The 18,808-nt window shown below is 36.2% G+C and overlaps 1 annotated feature.

Moving 5' to 3' along the window:
- Positions 11,686-12,476: an enhancer, noted in NCBI's record as "H3K27ac hESC enhancer chr4:64084881-64085671 (GRCh37/hg19 assembly coordinates)". NCBI's record gives its function as "activates a minimal SCP1, AML or CMV promoter by ChIP-STARR-seq in naive H9 embryonic stem cells {active_cell/tissue: H9 hESC(naive)}" and the evidence as "EXISTENCE:reporter gene assay evidence [ECO:0000049][PMID:30033119]".

The raw sequence follows: 18,808 nt of genomic DNA on the forward strand, positions 1-18,808 counted from the left end.
GATTGCAGATCAGTCTCAAATCCATCTCCCTCACCAACTAAAACTAGAGGTTTATTGGAGAAACCCCATCTCCACTAAAAATATGAAATTAGCCAGATGTGGTAGCTCATGCCTGTAATTCCAGCTACTCATGAGGCTGAGGCAGGAGAATCACTTGAACCTGGGAGGTGGAGGTTGCAGTGACCTGAGATCGCACCATTGCACTCCAGCCTGGGCAACAAGAGCAAAATTCCATCTCAAAAAAAATAAATAAATAAAACCCCAAAAAACTAGGGGTTTATATAGCAGGGTAGAAATCTAACAATGTGTTAGAAAATAAGAACTAGGGAGGGGCAAGGAAGCAATCATAATTAATGAGAAGTCCAGCATCTCACTGTATGGATGTAGTGATCTGGTAATTTTCAGTTCTTTGATGCTTTTCTTGACAGGCCTGAAGATCATTTTCTGAGGGAAGAATGCAAGAAAACCAAATGTAACTTTGAAGCTTTAAAACCAGAAGGTCCATTTTTATGTTTAGCCAAACAAACAGACAACCACTATATAAGAAAAAATGACTCAGAGTACATAAAAAACTAAATGTAACAACTACAACTATAAAATTCTTAGGAAAAGAAAAAAAATGTAGATGTATATCTTCCTGAACTTGAATTAGGAAATGATTTCTTACATTTGACAACAAAAGCATAAGCAACCACAAAAACAAAAAGTATACAAGTTGAATCTTATAAAAATAATATTTATGTTCTATATGTGATATATATATGTCTCAAAGTGAAACCTGCCAAATTGTCCCATAGAACTGATATTTATGGCTTCTTTGAATAAACATGGAAATTGATTCTCTCAGTCTTATGAGAAAGTTACATTTGTCTTATTTGACTTCCTTTGTCAGAAACTCATCATCATGTCTTCTAGATAGTATCAAGGAGCTGAAACTTACCAAATTCCTGCATCTGGACAATGGAACACTGGAATCTTTACTCATCATGATTGCCTAACTGACCACTTGCTTCTCCCTGACCAATTACTCTTCCTTACCCCTCACTAATTCCTGTTTTCCCACAGATGGTCACACTTCTTCCTTGCTATGTAAACCCCTAATTTTAGTCAATCCGGGAGAGGGATTTGACACTGATCTCTCATCTTCTCAGCTGCAGCACATGATTAAAGCCTTCTTAACTCACAATACTTGTTGTCTCAGTGATTGGCTTTCTGTGCAGTGAGCGGCAAGGCCCAGACCAAATCACTGGCATTTTGATAACAAAAGGATGCTATCAATAAAGTGAGAAGTCAACCCACAGCATGATATACAATATTTCCAAATTACATTTCTGATAAGGGAGTAATGTCAGAATATACAAAAATCCAATTAAAAATAAAAATACATGTGATCCAATAATACATGGACAAAAGATTTAAATAAACATTGCTTCAAGAGGATATATAAATGAACAATAAATACAAGAAGATATGTTCAAATTAATAAGTCATTCAGGAAATGCAAGTTAAAATCATAATGCTATAGCACTTCACAGGTTAAGTATAAGAAAAAAATGGATCATAACAAGTTTTGGTAAGAAAGCAGAGAAATTAGAACCCTCATACATTGTTGGTGGGAAGGTACAATAGGGCAGCTTCTTTGAAAAATAGTGTGGTATGTTGGTGGGAATGTAGATTAGTTCAACCCTTATGCAAAATTATGTGGAGATATCTCAAGGACCTAAAATTAGAACCGTCAGTTGACCCAGCAATCCCACTACTGGTTATCTACCCAAAGAAAAAGAAATCACTCTATCAAAAAGATATCTGCATTCATATGTTTATTGAAGCACTATTCACAATAGAAATGTCATGGAATCAACCTAAGTGCCTATTAATGGTAGACTAGATAAAGAAAATTTGGCATATATACTCCATGTAATACTACAGAGGTGTAAAAAAGAATAAAATCATGTCATTTTCAGCAATGTGGATGCAGGTGGAGGTTATCATTCTAAGTAAATTAACACAGAAACAGAAAATTAGATATTGCACGTTCTCGCATATAAGTGTGAGGTAAAATATGCGTACACATGGACATAAAGACGGAAGTGATAGTCACTGGGGACTCCAAAAATGAGGAGATGGGAGGAGGGTAGGATTAAAAAAAAACACCCACTGGATACTATGTTCCCTATTCCTGTGATGGATTCAAGAGAGCTGAAACTTACCAAAGTCTGCAACTCAGCATTATGTAATATTCCCTTGTAACCAACATCCACATGAATCTAAAAAAAATATATAGTGTGGTAGATCCTCAAAAAATGAAACATACAGTTATGTTATGATCATCAATTCCTCTCCTGGATACATACCCTAGAAAATGGAAAATATATGTCTACATGAAAAACTAGTGCATTCATTATTATTGATAGCATCATTTTTAATAATGGAAAAATAGAAGAAACAAATGTCCGTTTGCTGATAAATAAATAAACAAAATTCATATTTTCATACAATAGATCAATACTCTGTCAAGAAAAATAATGAAATGCTGAGACATGCTGCAATATGGATGGACTTTGAAAACATTATGCTAAGTGAAAGAAACAGAAACAAAAGGCTACATATTGTAAGATTCCATTTATGTAAAATATCTAGATTAGGTAGATTTTTAGAAACAAAAAGTAGATTAGTTGTTTTACAGCCCCCTGTAAAAAGGGAGAAACAGAGAATGGCTGCCAATCGGTATCGGATTTCTTTTAGGGGTGGTGAACACGTTCTAATATTAGTGAGGATGGTTACAAAGCTTTGGAAATCTACTAAAATTACTGAATTATACACTATGAAGGGGTAAATTTTATGGTATTTAAATTGTATCTCTTTGTAAATACAAATGATTACATTAATATTTTAAAATTTGTACTTATATATGCATTAATTTTTTTAGTTAGGTGATGATTACATGGAAGGCTTTTGTAAGTAAACAATTATTTTAAAAAATAGGAATATAAGGCAAAACATTGTATATTAATTGTTCTTAAGTAGTAATTACAAATTATCTTTTATGAAATATAAACTTACCATGCAGGTTGCTGAAACTTGAAATTAATTTACTTCATTTACAAAAACAAACATTTTATTAAATTAATAAAGTGTCTGGATTTCTGTTAGGTGCAGGAGTTAAAATGATTCACAAAATAAGCTTAGCCTTTCTCTCAAAAAATGTAGACTAATGCAAAATACTGGCAGATAAATGAAAAAATGCAACTAAGTATGATCAGTGCTAAAATAAGGAGAACACACTGTGGTGTGGGAGAACATGCAAGGGGTATCTGTGTAATTTCCTAGGGCTGCAGTAACAACTGGGAGTCTAAAAACAATGTGATTTCTATTTTACAGTTTTGGAGGCTGTAAGTAAGCAATCCTATCAATTTGGGTATACACTCAAATAAATATAAATCATTCTACTGTAAAGACACATGCACGTGAATGTTTATTGAAGCACTATTCACAATAGCAAAGATATGGAATCAACCTAAGTGCTCATCAATGACAGATTGGATCAAGAAAATGTGGTACATATACACCATGGAATACTATGAAGCCATGAACATGAAGGAGAACGTCTTTTGCAGGAATATAGATGGAGCTGGAGGCTATTATCCTTACGAAACTAATGCAGGAGCAGAAAACCAAATACCACATGTTCTCACTTAGAAGTGGGAGCTGAATAATGAGAACTCAAATACAAAGAAGGGAACAACAGACACTGAGGTCTACTTGAGGGAAAAGGGTGGGAGGAGGGAGATGAGCAGAAAAAACAACTATTGGGTACTAGGCTTAATACCTGTGTGATAAAATAATCTATTTAACAAACCCCTGTGATACGAGTTTACCTATATAACAAACATGCACATGTACCCCTGAACCTAAAATAAAAGATTTAAAAAAAAACAAATCAATGTATTAGCACGGTCATGCTCCCTCTCAAGTCTCTACTGGAAGATTTTTTCCCTGCCTCTTCCTAGCTTCTGGCGGAGTCAGACATTCCTTGGTTTGTGGTGACATAACTCAAATATCTGTATCTTTACATAGCTATTTTCTCCTTGTATGTGTCCATCACTTCACATTACATTTTTTTTTAAAGTACACTACACTAGTAATACTGGGTTAGGAGACAACCCTACTAGGGAATTATGATAATTAAGTTTATGTGTCAACTTGACTGGATCAGGGAATGTCCTGATACCTGGTTAAACATTATTTCTGGATTTGTGTGTGAGGTTATTTCTAAAGAGATTAGCATTTGAATTGGTGGGCTTATTAAAGCACATAGCCCTCCCCAATATGGGTGACCATCATCCAATTCATTGAGGGCCCACATAGAGCCAAAAGGTAAAGGCAGGGAGCATTCACTGGCTCTCTGCTTGACTGCTTGAGCTAACACAGCAATTTTCTCCTGGCTTCATCGCTCCTGCTTCTCAGTCTTTCAGGTTTAAACTGCAAACTATCAATCATAGTACCCTGGATCAAAGAGACTTTCCAAGTATATGTGCTGAGTAAATACTAATACTTAACATGTATTATTATGTACCAGACACTCCTCAACAATGATTGATTAATTAAAAAGATAAATATATTTCAAATGCATATTTAATGATAATAATCTATGTGGTAAGTACTGCTGTTTTTATTATTACCATGTATAGATATGGAAATGGAGGAAGAAATAAATTAAGTAACTTGACCAGGGTCACAAACCTAATGAACACAAAGGACAGAGCTGGAATGTGAAGCAGGCAATCTGGCTTCTGGCCATATTCTCCTGGCCAGTTCAAAATGCACTATATTTTAGTGGTTGTTTTTTCTTATAGGACTCTTAGGAGGGAGTTTGTATGAAGAGAGTGACTCAACTGAACTGAAGATCTCAAAAGAGAGAGAGAAGGAAAGAGGGAGAGGGGGGCATGGTTGCCTCACAATTTAAATGTAAAATATTTGTTTTTTTTTATAACGGGTACAGAGGTATCTCCTTTACTGTTGTGGAACTGAATTCAGAGAAAGACTCCTTTTTATTCAGGGAAAGCTGGATTTTACTGTTTGCTTTCAGTGCTTTTCTCTAGCATGAAAACACTAACATATATTTTAATCATCTTTTGATGTTTCCTGGCATGCCACATGATAAATCAACTTTGAACATCCTCTGGGACTTCATAAAACTCATTCTTTATTTTTCTCCTTGCTTTTTAGGCCTTTGGTAGCTCAACATGGTGTTCTTTAAATAATGGAATCCCACCAAGACCACATCTGTCCAAATCACTTTCTCTTTTTCTAAGTTACTAAACATAAAACATTTAAATATTAATTGACTCACAATGTTGCTTTAACAGCAAAATGGATATGTAGTTTCTGCATATTAAATTTCATACTTTATTATGTAAAGTTACTTTAAAAATATTTACTTGTTTTAAAATGCTAATCTCCTTACCTCTATATGTCTACATGAATTACAAGTATAGATTATAATTTACTAATTTTATAATATTAATCAGAACCTAATGGAAAGAAAAATTTGGAAAATTAATAGCACTTTCACCAGATTAATTAGCTAGTTAGTATATATTTGCACTGAAAAATAAAATTTCCATATATATGAAACTTAAATAAAAGATTAAATTGTAGTATGTCAATGATATAGCTTTCTTTCACCTGTTTCTTTTGCAATTTATATTTTATTTAAAATTAGTATAGACCTTATATATTAACATATATTTTATATATGTAAATAATATATAATATAGAAGTAAATACAAGTGTGTTTTTATATATATATATCACACTTGTGTGATATGTACACACATATGCACACACAAATATATATGTAACTATAGAAGGTGATAGATAACGTTAAATCACTTACCTGTAGTAATAACTTAACTATAAATATGTATATGAAAACATCATATTATCTACCTCAAAAATTTATACAACTAAAACATAGTTTACTAGAATTTCATGGAGTACATCAACACATTTTTTTTCAACTTTTATTTTAAGTTCTGGGGTATATGTGCAGGATGTGCAAGTTTGTTATATAGGTAAATGTGTGCAACAGTGGTTTGCTGCACAGAAAAACCCATCCCCTAGGTATTAAGTTCAGCATCTACTAGTTATTCTTTCTAATGCTTTCCTTTTTCCTACCCCCACGGACAGGCCTCAGTTTGTGTTGTTTCCAACCCACCCTACCATGTGTCTGTGTGTTCTAATTGTTCTGCTCCCACTTAGAAGTGAGCACATGTGTTTAGTTTTCTGTTCCTGTGTTAGTTTGCTAAGGACACTAACTTCCAGCTTCATCCATGTTCCTGCAAAGGACATGATCTTGTTCCCTTTTATGGCTGCATAGTATTCCATGGTGTATATGTACCACATTTTCTTTGTCCAGTCTCTCATTGATGGGCATTTCAGTTGATTCCATATCTTTGGTATTGTAAATAGTGAGGCAATGAACATATGCCTGCATGCATCTTTATAACAGAATGATTTATGTTCCTTTGGGTACATACTCAGTAATGGGATTGCTGGGTCAAATGGTACTTTTGTTTCTAGAATTTTGAGGAATTGCCACACTTTCTTCCACAATGTTTGAACTAATTTATACTTTCACCAACAGTGTAAAAACATTCCTTTTTCTCAGCATCCTCACTGGCATCTGTTGTTTCTTGACTTTTTAATAATTGCCATTCTGACTGGAATGAGATGGTATCTTATTGTGGTTTTGAATTGGATTTCTCTAATGTTCAGTCATGTGATTTTTTTCATGTTTTTTGGCCACAAGAATGTCCTCCTTTGAGAACTGTCTGTTAATGCCTCTTGCCCAATTTTTAATGAGGTTGTTTGGTTTGTTTTTTTCTCATAAACTTGTTTTAATTCATTGCAGATTCTGGATATTGGACCTCTCACAGAGAGATAAATTGCAATTTTTTTTTCTAATTCTACAGGTTGTCTGTTCACTTTGATGATAGTTTCTTTTGCTGTGCAGATGCTCTTTAATTAGTTTCCATTTGTCAATTTTTGCTTTTGTTGCAACTGCTTTTGGCATTTTCATCATAAAATCTTTGCTTGTGCCTATGTCCTTAATGGTATTGTCTAGATTTTTTTTTCTAGCATTTTTATAGTTTTGAGTTTTACATTTAAGTTTTAGTTCATCTTGAGTTAATTTTTGTTTAAAGATAAGAAAGGGGTCCAGTTTCAATTCTCTTCATATGGCTAGCAAGTTCTCCCAGCATCATTTATTAAGTAAAATATCTTCTCCCCATTGCTTGTTTTGTCATATTTGTCATAGATCAAATGGTTGTTAAGTGTGCAGTCTTGTTTATGAGTTCTCTATTCTGTTCCATTATCTATGTGTCTGTTTTTGTAACAGTACCATGCTGTTTTGGTTACTGTAGCCTTGTAGTATAGTTTAAAGTCAGGTAGTGTGATGTCTTCATCTTTTTTTGTTTTGTTTGTTTGTTTTTTCTTAGGATTGTCTTGGCTATAGGGCTCTTTTTTGTTTCCATATGAATTTTAAAATAGTTTTTTTTTCTTATTCTGTGAAGAATGTCAGCGGTAGTTTAATAACAATAACATTGAATCTATAAATTACCTTGGGCAGTATGACCATTTTCACGACATTTATTCTTCCTGTCCATGAGCATGGAATATTTTTTCATTTGTTTTTGTCCTCTCTGATTTCTTTGAGCAGCAGTTTGTAGTTCTTCTTGAAGATGTCCTTCACTTCCCTTGTTAGCTGTATTCCTAGATATTTTATTCTCTTTGTAGCAATTGAGAATAGGAGTTCATTCATGATTTGGCTCTCTGCTTGCCTGTTCTTGGTGTATAGGAATGCTAGCGATTTTTGCAGATCAATTTTGTATACTGAAACTTTGCTGAAGTTGCTTATCAGCTTAAGAAGCTTTTGGGCTGAAACAATGGGGTCTTGTAGATATAGGATCATGTCATCTGCAAACAAAGATAATTTGACTTCCTCTCTTGCTATTTGAATACTCTTTATTTCTTTCTCTTGCCTGATTGCCCTGGCCAGAACTTCCAATACTATGTTAAATAGAAGTGATCAGAGAGGGCATTCTTATCTCGTGCTTATTTTCAAGGGGTGAATGCTCCCAGCTTTTTCCCATTCAGTATAATATTGGCTGTGGGTTTTCATATATGGCTCTTATTATTTTGAGGTATGCTCCTTTAATACTGAGTTTATTAAGAGTTTTTATACTAAAGGGAATCTGAATTTCATCAAAGTTTTTTTGTGTTTATTGGGATAATCATGTTGTTTTTGTCTTTAGTTTTGTTTATGGAATGAACTACATGTATTGATTTGTATATGTTGAACCAATCTTGCATCTCAGGAATGAACCTTACTTAATCATTGTGGGTACGCTTTTTGATGTGCTGCTGGATTCTGTTTGCCAGTATTTTATTGAGGGTCTTTGCATCAATATTCCTTGGGGATATTGGCCTGAAGTTTGCTGTTGTTGTTTGTTTTTTTGTATTTCTAACAAGTTTTTATATCCAGATGATGCTGGCCTCAGAAAATGGGTTTAGGAGAAGTTCCTCCTTTTCCATTGTTCGGAATGGTTTCTGAAGAAATGGTAGCAGCTCCTCTTTGTACCTCTGGTAGAATTTAGCAGTAAATCTGTCTAGACCTGGGCTTTATTTGGTTGGTAAGCTATTTATTACTGCCTCAATTTCAGAACTTATTATCAGTCTATTCAGGGATTCAATTTCTTCCTGGTTCAGTCTTGAGAAGGTATATGCATCCAGGAATGTATCCATTTCTTTTTGATTTTCTAGTTTATGTGCATAGAGGTATTTATAGTATTCTCTGATGATTGTATTTCTGTGGGATCAGTGGTGATATTCTTCTTATCATTTCTGATTCTATTTGATTATTCTCCTTTTTCTTTATTAGTCTAGCTAGTGGTCTATGTATTTTATTAATTTTTTCAAAGCCAAAAAAAAAAAAAAAGCCCAGGTCCTGGATTTGTTTATTTTTTGAAGGGTTTTTGTGTTTCTATCTCCTTCAGTTCTACTCTGATCTTTGTTATTTCTTGCCTTCTGCTAGCTTTGGTGTTTGTTTGCTTTTGGTTCTCTAGTTCTTTTAGTTGTGATGTCACATTGCCAATTTGAAATCTTCCTAGCCTTTCGATGTGGGCAGTTAGTGTTATAAATTTCCCTCTTAGCACCACTTTAGCTGTGTCTCAGAGATTCTGGCATGTTGTCCTTTTGTTCTCATTAGTTTCACAGAACTTCTTGATTTCTGCCTTAATTTCATTATTTACACAGGAGTCATTCAGGAGCAGATTGTTCAATTTACATGTAGTTGTGTGTGTTTGAGTGGGTTTCTTAACGTTGAGTTGTAAGAGAGTCTGAGAGACTGTTTATTATTATTTCAGTTCCTTTGCATTTTCTGAGGAGTGTTTTACTTCCAATTACGTGATAAATTTTAGAGTAAGTGTATATCTCTTGTTTTGGGGTAGATAGGTTTGTAGATATCTATGAGGTCCACTTGTTCCAGAGCTGAGTTCAGTTCCTAAATATCTTTGTTAATTTTCAGTCTCAATTATGTAATATTGTCAGTGGGGTTTTAAACTCTCCCACTATTATTCTGTGGGAGTCTAACTCTCTTTGTAGGTCTCTAAGAACTTGCTTTCCGAATCTGGATACTCCTGTATTGGGTCCATATTTATTTAGGATAGTTAGTACTTTTTCTTGAATTGAACCCTTTACCACTGTGTAATGCCGTTCTTTGTCTTTTTTGATCTTTTTTGGTTTGAATAAGCCTTAACTGTTTATTCAGCTTTCTATTCTAGGGCATTTAGTCCATTTACATTTAAGGTTAATATTAATGTGTGTGAATTTGATCCCATCTTCATGATGCTAGCCAGTTATTTTGCAGATTTTTATGTAATTGTTTCATAGTGTTACTGGCCTTTATACTTTATTGTGTTTTTGTAGTGGCTGGTAATGGTCTTTTCTTTCCATATTTAGTTCTTCCTTCAGAAGCTCTTGCAAGGCAGGCCTAGTAGTGACAAATTTTCATAGCATTTGGTTGTCTGAAAAGGATCTTCTTTCTCCCTCACTTATGAAGCTTAGTTTGGCTGGATATGAAACTCTGGGTTGGAAATTCTTTTCTCTAAGAATGAATAATTATATTGGCCCCCAATCTTTTCTGGCTTGTAGGGTTTCCACTGAGAGGTCCACTGTTAGTGTAATGGATGATCTGGTCTTTCTCTCTGGCTGTCCTTAACATTATTTCTTTCATGTCAACCTTGGAGTATCTAGTGATTATGTTTCTTGGGGTTAGTTTTTTATGGAGTATCTTACTGGTGTTCTCTGAATTTCCTGAATTTAAATGTTAGCCTGTCTTTCTAGGTTTGGGAAGTTCTCCTGGATGATATCCTGAAATATATTTTCCAACTTAGTTCCTTTCTCCCTGTTTCTTTCAGGTATGCCAATCAGTTGTAGGTTTGGTCTTTTTACATAATACCATATTTCTGAGAAGTTTTGTTTGTTTCTTTTTATTCTTTTTTTCTCTGTTCTTATCTGCTTGTCTTATTTTGGAGAGATAGTGTTCAAGCACTGAGATTATTATCTCCATTTGATCTATTTGGCTATTGATACTTGTGATTGCATTGTGAAGTTCTTGTGTTGTGTTTTTTAGCTCTATAATGTCATTTATGTTCCTCTCTAAACTGGCTATTCTGTTTATCATCTCTTATAATGTGTTATTATGATTCTTAGCTTTTTTGCATTGGGTTAGAACATGCTCCTTTAGCTCAACAAAGTTTGTTATTACCCACCTTCTGAAGCCTACTTCTGTCAATTCAGCCATCTCAGCCTCAGCCCAGTTCTTTGCCCTTGCACGAGTGAGATTATTTAGAGGAGAAGAGGCACTCTGGTTTTTGAGTTTTTGGTGTTTTTGCATTGATTCTTTCTTTTATCTTTGTGGGCTTATCTACTTTTGATCTTTGAGGTTGCTGACCTTTGAATGGGTTTTTTGTGGGGTCTTTTTTGTTGATGTTGTTGTTGCTTTCTGTTTCTTTGTTTTTCTTTTAACAATCATGCCCCTCCTCCATAGGGCTGCTTGAGTTTGGTGGGGGTATACTCCAAACCCTAATCACCTGGGTCCATCCTGCACCTGGAGGTGTCATCAGCAAAGGCTGCAAAACAATAAAGATAGCAGCCTGCTGCTACTTTTGGGAGCTCTGTCCTAGAGGGGCACTGAGCTGATGCCAGCCCAAATGTTCCTGTAGGAGATTTCTGGAGACTTCTCTTGAGAGGTTGCACCTAGTCAGAAGGAATGGGGTTAGTGATCCACTTAAAGAAGTAGTTGGGTTGCCCCTTGGCGGAGTGGATGCATTGCGTTGGTGGGAACCTTCCTTGTCTAGACCACCCAGACTCTCCAGAGCCAGCAGGCAGGAAAAGATAAGTGGGGTGAACTTCAGAGACTGCAGCAGTCCCTCCCGCCAGGGTCTCTGTCCCAGGAAGATCAAAGTTCTCTTTGTAACTGACTGGAGTTGCCGAAATTCCTGCAAGGAGGCCTCATCCGGTGAGGAGGAATGCATTGTGTTTCCACTTAAAGAAGCAGTCTTGCCATGATATGCCACAGCAGTGGAGCTGCACTGTAGGAATTTCCTCTCTGTCTGAACTGCGCAGACTCTCCAGAACCAGCAGACCAGGACAGCTAACTTGAGCCAAAGAATGGCGACCACTTTTTCCCTATGGGAAATCAGTTGTCTCAGGCAGTCTCCAGCCTGCTGCTGCTGTGCTGCTGGCTGGCTGGAATTCCAAGTCAGGGGTTGTTAACATGTGAGTTGGTTCTGCTGAATGACGTTGCTTGACTCCCTGGCTTCAACTCCTTTCCTAGGGGAATGGATGGATCTCTTGCCTCACCGGAATTCCCAGGGCCAAAGTATGCAAAAACACCTGTGTCTCCATGCATGCCCAAGCAGCCATGGAGAGTCTGCATGCCTCTGTGATTTGAACCCAAGGCCCTGGTGGCATGGGCTCATGAGGGGATCTCCTGATCTGTGGATTGCAAAGATCCATGGGAAAAGCTTGGCTTGCCAGGTGGGGTTGCTGCCTCCCTTGGCTGCCTCCCTTGCTCTAGGTGGGAGCTCTCCTCACTCCATGCTATTCCTGAGTGGGCTGTCACTCCAATCTACTTTTCCTCACTCTCCATATGTCTCACTGACTGCTTAGTCAGTCCCAGTGTGAGAAACTGGATACCTCATTTGAAGGTGTATATTTCACTCAGTGTTTTTGTACTTCTCTGTGAGAGGTGCAGACCAGAGCGGCTTCTAATCAGCCATCTTGGTCTGCCCCAACAAGTTGTTCATGACAAGTGCAGATGTATAGCCAAGGAGCAGCAGGAAGAGAGTGTCAGTGAATAGAAAATTACTGAAAGGAAACATCAAGGGTAGGGAGATAGATGGTTGTTAAACCAACCTAATAGGATTCTTGTTAAAGACAGGCCAAAGAATTAGACAAAATGAGGGAATGCAGAATGTTATTATATATCAAAAGGGTGCGGATTCTCACTAAACTAACTAAGCAAGATCCTTTCTAAGACTGGGGTAAGCAGGCAAAGGCAGGATGAGGGCCAGGGCCAAGGGCTGGTCAAGAAGAGTGCCCCAAGGAGTCTGAATATAGTTTGGTGAAGTACAGTCTTTGTCAAAGCCCAGTATTGTCTCACACTATTTAACAACATTGTCGTCAACAATAGTTCACATGTGTAATGGTGGTCCCATAAGATTCTAATGGATGTGTCACTATTGCCTAGTGATATAGCCATTTTAATATTATACCATGAGGCATTACACATATGTGAGGCTGATATAAACAAACACATTGATCTATCAGTTTTATAAAAGTATAGCACATACCATTTTGTACAGTACATAATACTTGATAATAATAAACAACAATCTTATGAGTTTATATATTACTATATTATACATTTTATTTTTTATACTGTAGTTTTTACTTATTTTAAAAAGTTAACTGTAAATAGTCTCAGGCAAGTTCTTCAGAAGGTACACCAGAAGAAAGTGTAGGAGATGACAGCTCCATGCATGTAATTACCCCTAAGTATTATTTATTGGACAGATGTGGAGGTGAGAGATAGTAGTATAATTCTGACCCTATGTAGACACATGCTAGGTGTGTATTTTAACAAAAATGTTTAAAAATAAAAAAAAATAAATTAAAAAATTTTGAAAAGCTTCTAGAATAAGGATAAAAAGAAATAAAATGTTTTGTATAGCTATAAAGTTTGTGTTTTAAATTATTACAAAAGAGTCAAAAAGCACTCAATATTTAAAAAAAGTTTTTTAAAGTAAAAATGTTACAGTAATCTAAGGTTAATACATTACTGAAGAAATAAAGATTGAGTGTGGTGGATCACTCTTGTAATCCCAATACTTTGAAAGGCTGAGGCTGTGAGCCCCAATGGTGCTACTGCACTCCAGCCTGGATGACAGAATAAGAACTTGCCTCAAAAAAAGAATCCACAAAAATAAGAAATAAATATACTCATATAAATTTATCATACCCTAAATGTAAAGTTTACAGTAGTGTACAGCAAAGGTCCCCAACCACTGGGCCATGGGCCAGTAGTGGCCTATGGCCTGATAGGAACAGGGCTGCACAACATAAGGTGGGTGGCAGGTGAGTGAGTATTACCACCAGAATTCAGCCTTCTGTTAGATGAGTGGTGACATTAGATTCTCATTGTGAATTGCACAAGAAAGAGATCTAGGCTGCATGCTCCTTATGAAAATCTAATAACTGAAAATCTGAGATGAAACAGTTTTGCCTCAAAACCATACCCTGTACCAACAGTCCATGGAAAATATTGTCTTCCATGAAATTGGTCCCTGGTGCCTAAAAATGTTGGGGACTGCTGGTGTATAATAACGTCCTTGACTGTTTTATTGGCTTGTTTTTTTAATTTACTCACAACTCACTCACTGCTTCACCCACAGCAACTTCCAGTTCTGCAAGTTTTATTCATGGTAGGTGCCTTATTTAGTTGGACTATTTTTAATCTTTTATACTGTATTTTTACTGTAACATTTCTATATTTAGATACACAAATGCCATTTTGTTATAATTGTTACATGCTGTACAGATTTGTAGCCTAGGAACAATAGGCTCTACTATATAGCCAAGCTGTGTAGTAAGCTATGCCATCTAGGTTTCTGTGAGTACACTTTACGATGTTTGTAAAATGATGAAATAATCTAATCACAAAATGTAAATTTTAGTTCTATTACATATTCACTTTATATTTTATGTTTAGACAAAAGTGCAAACAATATATTTAAACACATATCCAAAATCTGATAAAACTCATTTGGAGGCAGGGTACGATGGCTCACGCCTGTAATCCCAGCACTTTGGGAGGCCGAAGTGGGCGGATCATGAGATCAAGAGATTGAGACCATCATGGCCAACATAGTGAAACCCCGTCTCTACTAAAAATACAAAAATTATCTGGGTGTGGTGGCATGCGCCTGTAATCCCAGCTACTCAGGAGACTGAGGCAAGAGAATCGCTTGAACCTGGGAGACTGAGGTTGCAGTGAGCCGAGATTGCACCACTACACTCTAGCCCGGTGACAGAGTGAGACTCCGTCTCAAAAAAAAAAAAATTCATTTGGAGTTAGTGCTTTACAATAAGAAATTGCTAAATTTCATACAGAAATAAATTATTTAAATTATATTATTATAATTTATAACATTTAAAAAGTTTATTTTAATCATGGGTATATTTTTAAAATTCTCAAATGTTACATTCAGTGAGAAATTGAGATAGGTTTCTCATTTTTATGAAGGTAATTATATCTTCCCTTGATTATTTTATTTTTAATTACAGAATAGGATTTGATGTGTTTCTATTTTTATAATTGGAACATTTAGTTTGTTAAAAAGTTGTGTTGAAAATTAGCATAGGGTTTTTTCTATCATTATTTTTAATAAAATATAGTTAACTTGCATTTTTACTTCAGGCTTCAATTAGGCACCTATTATAATACCCTTTATCTACCAGGGAATTCTACTAAAATATCCCTAGGAAGTTTCATTAAGATTACTCATTTTAAATGAATAGGGTTTATATTTAAAGATGGTAATACATATTGCGTAACCAATATCTTTATTTTCCAACCTCATCCCCTAATATACAGAAAGTCTTGCACACACCCAATAATTGTCTTGTATGCTTTCGTATTTTCTAAGACAGCTGGAAATATCTTTAGCCCTGCTTATGCAGAATGGGTGTACGTAGTGAGATCAGTTTTAAAAAAATCTCAAGGAGTCTCCTGCCTTTCACATCACTCATTATGTTGCACTTGTCCTTTCCATAAATATTAATATCTCTATCTGTATCTATATCGTCAATTCAAATGTTTCTGTTTCATCAGATTTTAAAATTTACAGATATTACTACCATTTAGGTAATAGTAACACAGTTCATTTAAATTGTTTCTTGAATAGTTCACATAAATTGAACTATTATTAAGACGCTACTTACCAAGCGAGTCTCTATATGAATGGCTGTTGAGGGAAACCAACACTAATATACATTGCTGATCCACTCTGCCATCTTCATCTGAGAGCATACTTTGTGAAATTTCTATTGCTTTTTATACATTTCAGGGTTTCTCTTATGGCCCAGAATGTGATCTATCTTAGTGAACATCCACATGAGCTTGAGATAAATGTGAATTATGCTATTGCAGGATGGAATAGTCTGTATTTTATAACTGTCAATTACATCAAGTTCATTGATTGTGTTTTTGTGGTCAATTTCATCCTCACTGGTTTTATGCCTGCTTGATCTACTAGCCACTGAAAGAGGGGTGTTTAATTATCTACTGTGTAATAGTAAACTTGACTATTTCTCCTCTTAGTTGTACCAAATCCTGGCTCATATATATATCCTTTGTCATATGCATACACATTTAAGACTTTTATGTCTTCTTGGAGAATTGTTCCAGTCATTATCATGTAGTGTCATTTTTTTATCCCAAATAACTTTTATTGTTTTGAATTTCACTTTGTCTGAACTTACTACCCTAGGTTGTTAATTTTTGGTTTTGTTTTTGGTTAAAGTTAACATTATATATCTTTATACATTCCTTTACTTTGAACCATTTAGAGTTTTTACATGTCGAGTGCCATTTAAGAGAATATATATACTTGCATCTTCTTCCATTATTATAATTCATTCTGACATTGCCTATCTTATAAATGGTATGTATAGACCATTCATAATAGCATGATTTGATTATTGAGATATAAGAATGAATATCTACCATTAGTGTAACTATTTTCTTTTTTTTTGGAGACGGAGTCTTCCTCTGTTGGCCAGGCTGGAGTGCAATAGTGTGACCTCAGCTCACTGCAACCTCTGCCTCCCGGGTTCAAGTGATTCTCCTGCCTCAGCCTCCCGAGTAGCTTGGATTATAGGCACGTGCCAGCACACCTGGCTAATTTTTGTATTTTTAGTAGAGATGGGGTTTCACCATGTTGGCCAGGCTGGTCTCAAACTCCTGACTGCAGGTGATCTGCCTGCCTCGGCCTCCCAAAGTGCTAGGATTACAGGCTTGAGCCACTGCACGTGGCCCCGTGTGTTTAACTATTTTCTATGCATTGCATTATTAACTGTTCTATTTCTTCTGTTGCTTTTGTCTTCTCTAATTTTAACTGAGAAATATATATAATTTTATATTTTATGTCTGACAATATCAAAGTCTATGTCATATTGGAATATGATTATGATGAGAGGTTTGTTTCTTCAGACTGTCTTCTCTGACTTTAAACATCTTCTATGATTTTTTTGTTTGAAAGTTGAACATAATATTAATATATATGAAAATAACTGAGATAAATAGGTTTCAGTGTGTTATTTTATGTACATTTTAACAGGAGTTATTAATGTTTGTGGATAATTGTAGCTGTGTGTGCTAGAGGCTTCAAACCCTCTACTGTCTTTGTTTTATCCTCCCCTGTTTTTGATATAGTTTGGATGTTTTGTTCCTTCCAAATCTCATTATAAACCTCTTTTTTATAGATTACCCAGTGTTGGGTATTCTTTCATAGCAACACAAATGGGTTAACACAGAAAGTTGGTACCAAGAGGTGGGGTATTTCTACAAAGTTACTTGAAGATGTAGAAGCAGCTTTGGAACTGGGAAATGGACAGAGGTTGGAAGAGTTTGGAAATATCAGAAGAAGACAAGAAAAAAAGAGTAAATTGGAGTTCCTTTGACACTTGTTAAGATGCTTTGATAAAAAATTTGATCAAAATATGGACAATAAAGGCCAGGCTAAGGAGATCTCAGTTAGGACATAAGAAACCTATTGGGAACTGAAACTAAGGTCACCCTGTTACTCCTTAGCAATGACATTGGCTGAATTGTGATTGGGTCCTAGGGATCTGTGAAAGTTTGAACTTAAAAGTGATGACTTATGGTATCTGAGGAAATACATTTCTAAATGGCAAAGTATTCAATAATTGGCCTGGCTGCTTCTAATAGCCTAGTATCAGATACAGGAGCAAATTAATGACAAAGTTGGAAATTATAATGAAAAGAGAAGTAGAGTTTAAAAGTTTGAAAAATTTGCAGCCTAACCATGTGGGAGAGAAGAAAAAAGCATTTTCAGAAGAGAAATATAATCAGAATATGGAGAAACCTCCTGCTAAAGAGATTAATATGACTAAAAGGGTGCCAAGTGCTAATGGCCAAGACAATGGAAAAAAGTCTCAAAGGTATTTCCAAAGTCACTGGGACAGTCCCTCTTATCACTGACTCAGAAGCCTGAGAAGAAAGAATAGTTTGGGCACCCAAGCCTAGGGTTTCACTGCCCTTCACAGCCTTGGGACACTATTTCCTGCATCCCAGCTGCTCTAGCTCTAGCTCCATTCATGACTCAAATGTCCCCAAGTACAACTCCAGCTGCTGCTTCAGAGGATGCACGCAGTAAGTCTTGGCAGCTTCCATAAGATGCTAAGTCTGCAGGCATGTAGAATGCAAGAGTAAAGGAGACTTGGCAGCTTCCACCTAAATTTCAAAGGATGCATGAGAAAGCCTAGGTGCCCAGGCAAAGGACTGCCACAGAGGCGGAGTCCTTGAAAACAGACTCTCATAGGGCAATGTGAAGGGGAAAAGGTGGCTGGAGTCCCCACACAGAGTTTCTACTTGGGTACTGCCTGGTGAGGCAGTGGGAAAAGGGCTACTGCCCTACGGGCCTGAGAAAGCTATAGCCACTGGCCGCTTGCACTCTGAGTGTGGAAGAGCCACAGGCACACAACTCTAACCCACGAAAGCAGCCTTGCAGGCTCCCCCTGCAATGCCACAGAGGCAGAGCTGCCCAAGGCCTTGGGAGCCCACCCCTAGCCCCAGTGTGCCCTGGATGTGGGACACGGAGTCAAAGGAGATTATCTTGGATCTTTAGGATTTAATGACTGCTCTGCTTGGTTTCAGACTTGTGTGGGGAATTTTGCCCCTTTCTTTTGTCTGATTTCTCCCTTTTGGAATGGGACGGTCTACTTATGCCTATACCAGCATTTTATATTTGAAATAAATAACTTCTTGATCTTACAGGCTTGTAGGTGGAAGGGACTCGCCTTGAGTCTCAGATGAGATTTTGGACTTATGAGTCAATGCTAGAATGAGTTAAGACTTTGGGGACTATGGGGAAGAGATGATTATATTTCACAATGAAAGGAGGACATGAGATTTGTGGGGCCAGGGGTGGAATGATAT

This window comes from Homo sapiens, chromosome 4 (assembly GCF_000001405.40).
Source record: "Homo sapiens chromosome 4, GRCh38.p14 Primary Assembly".
Lineage (NCBI taxonomy): Eukaryota > Metazoa > Chordata > Mammalia > Primates > Hominidae > Homo > Homo sapiens.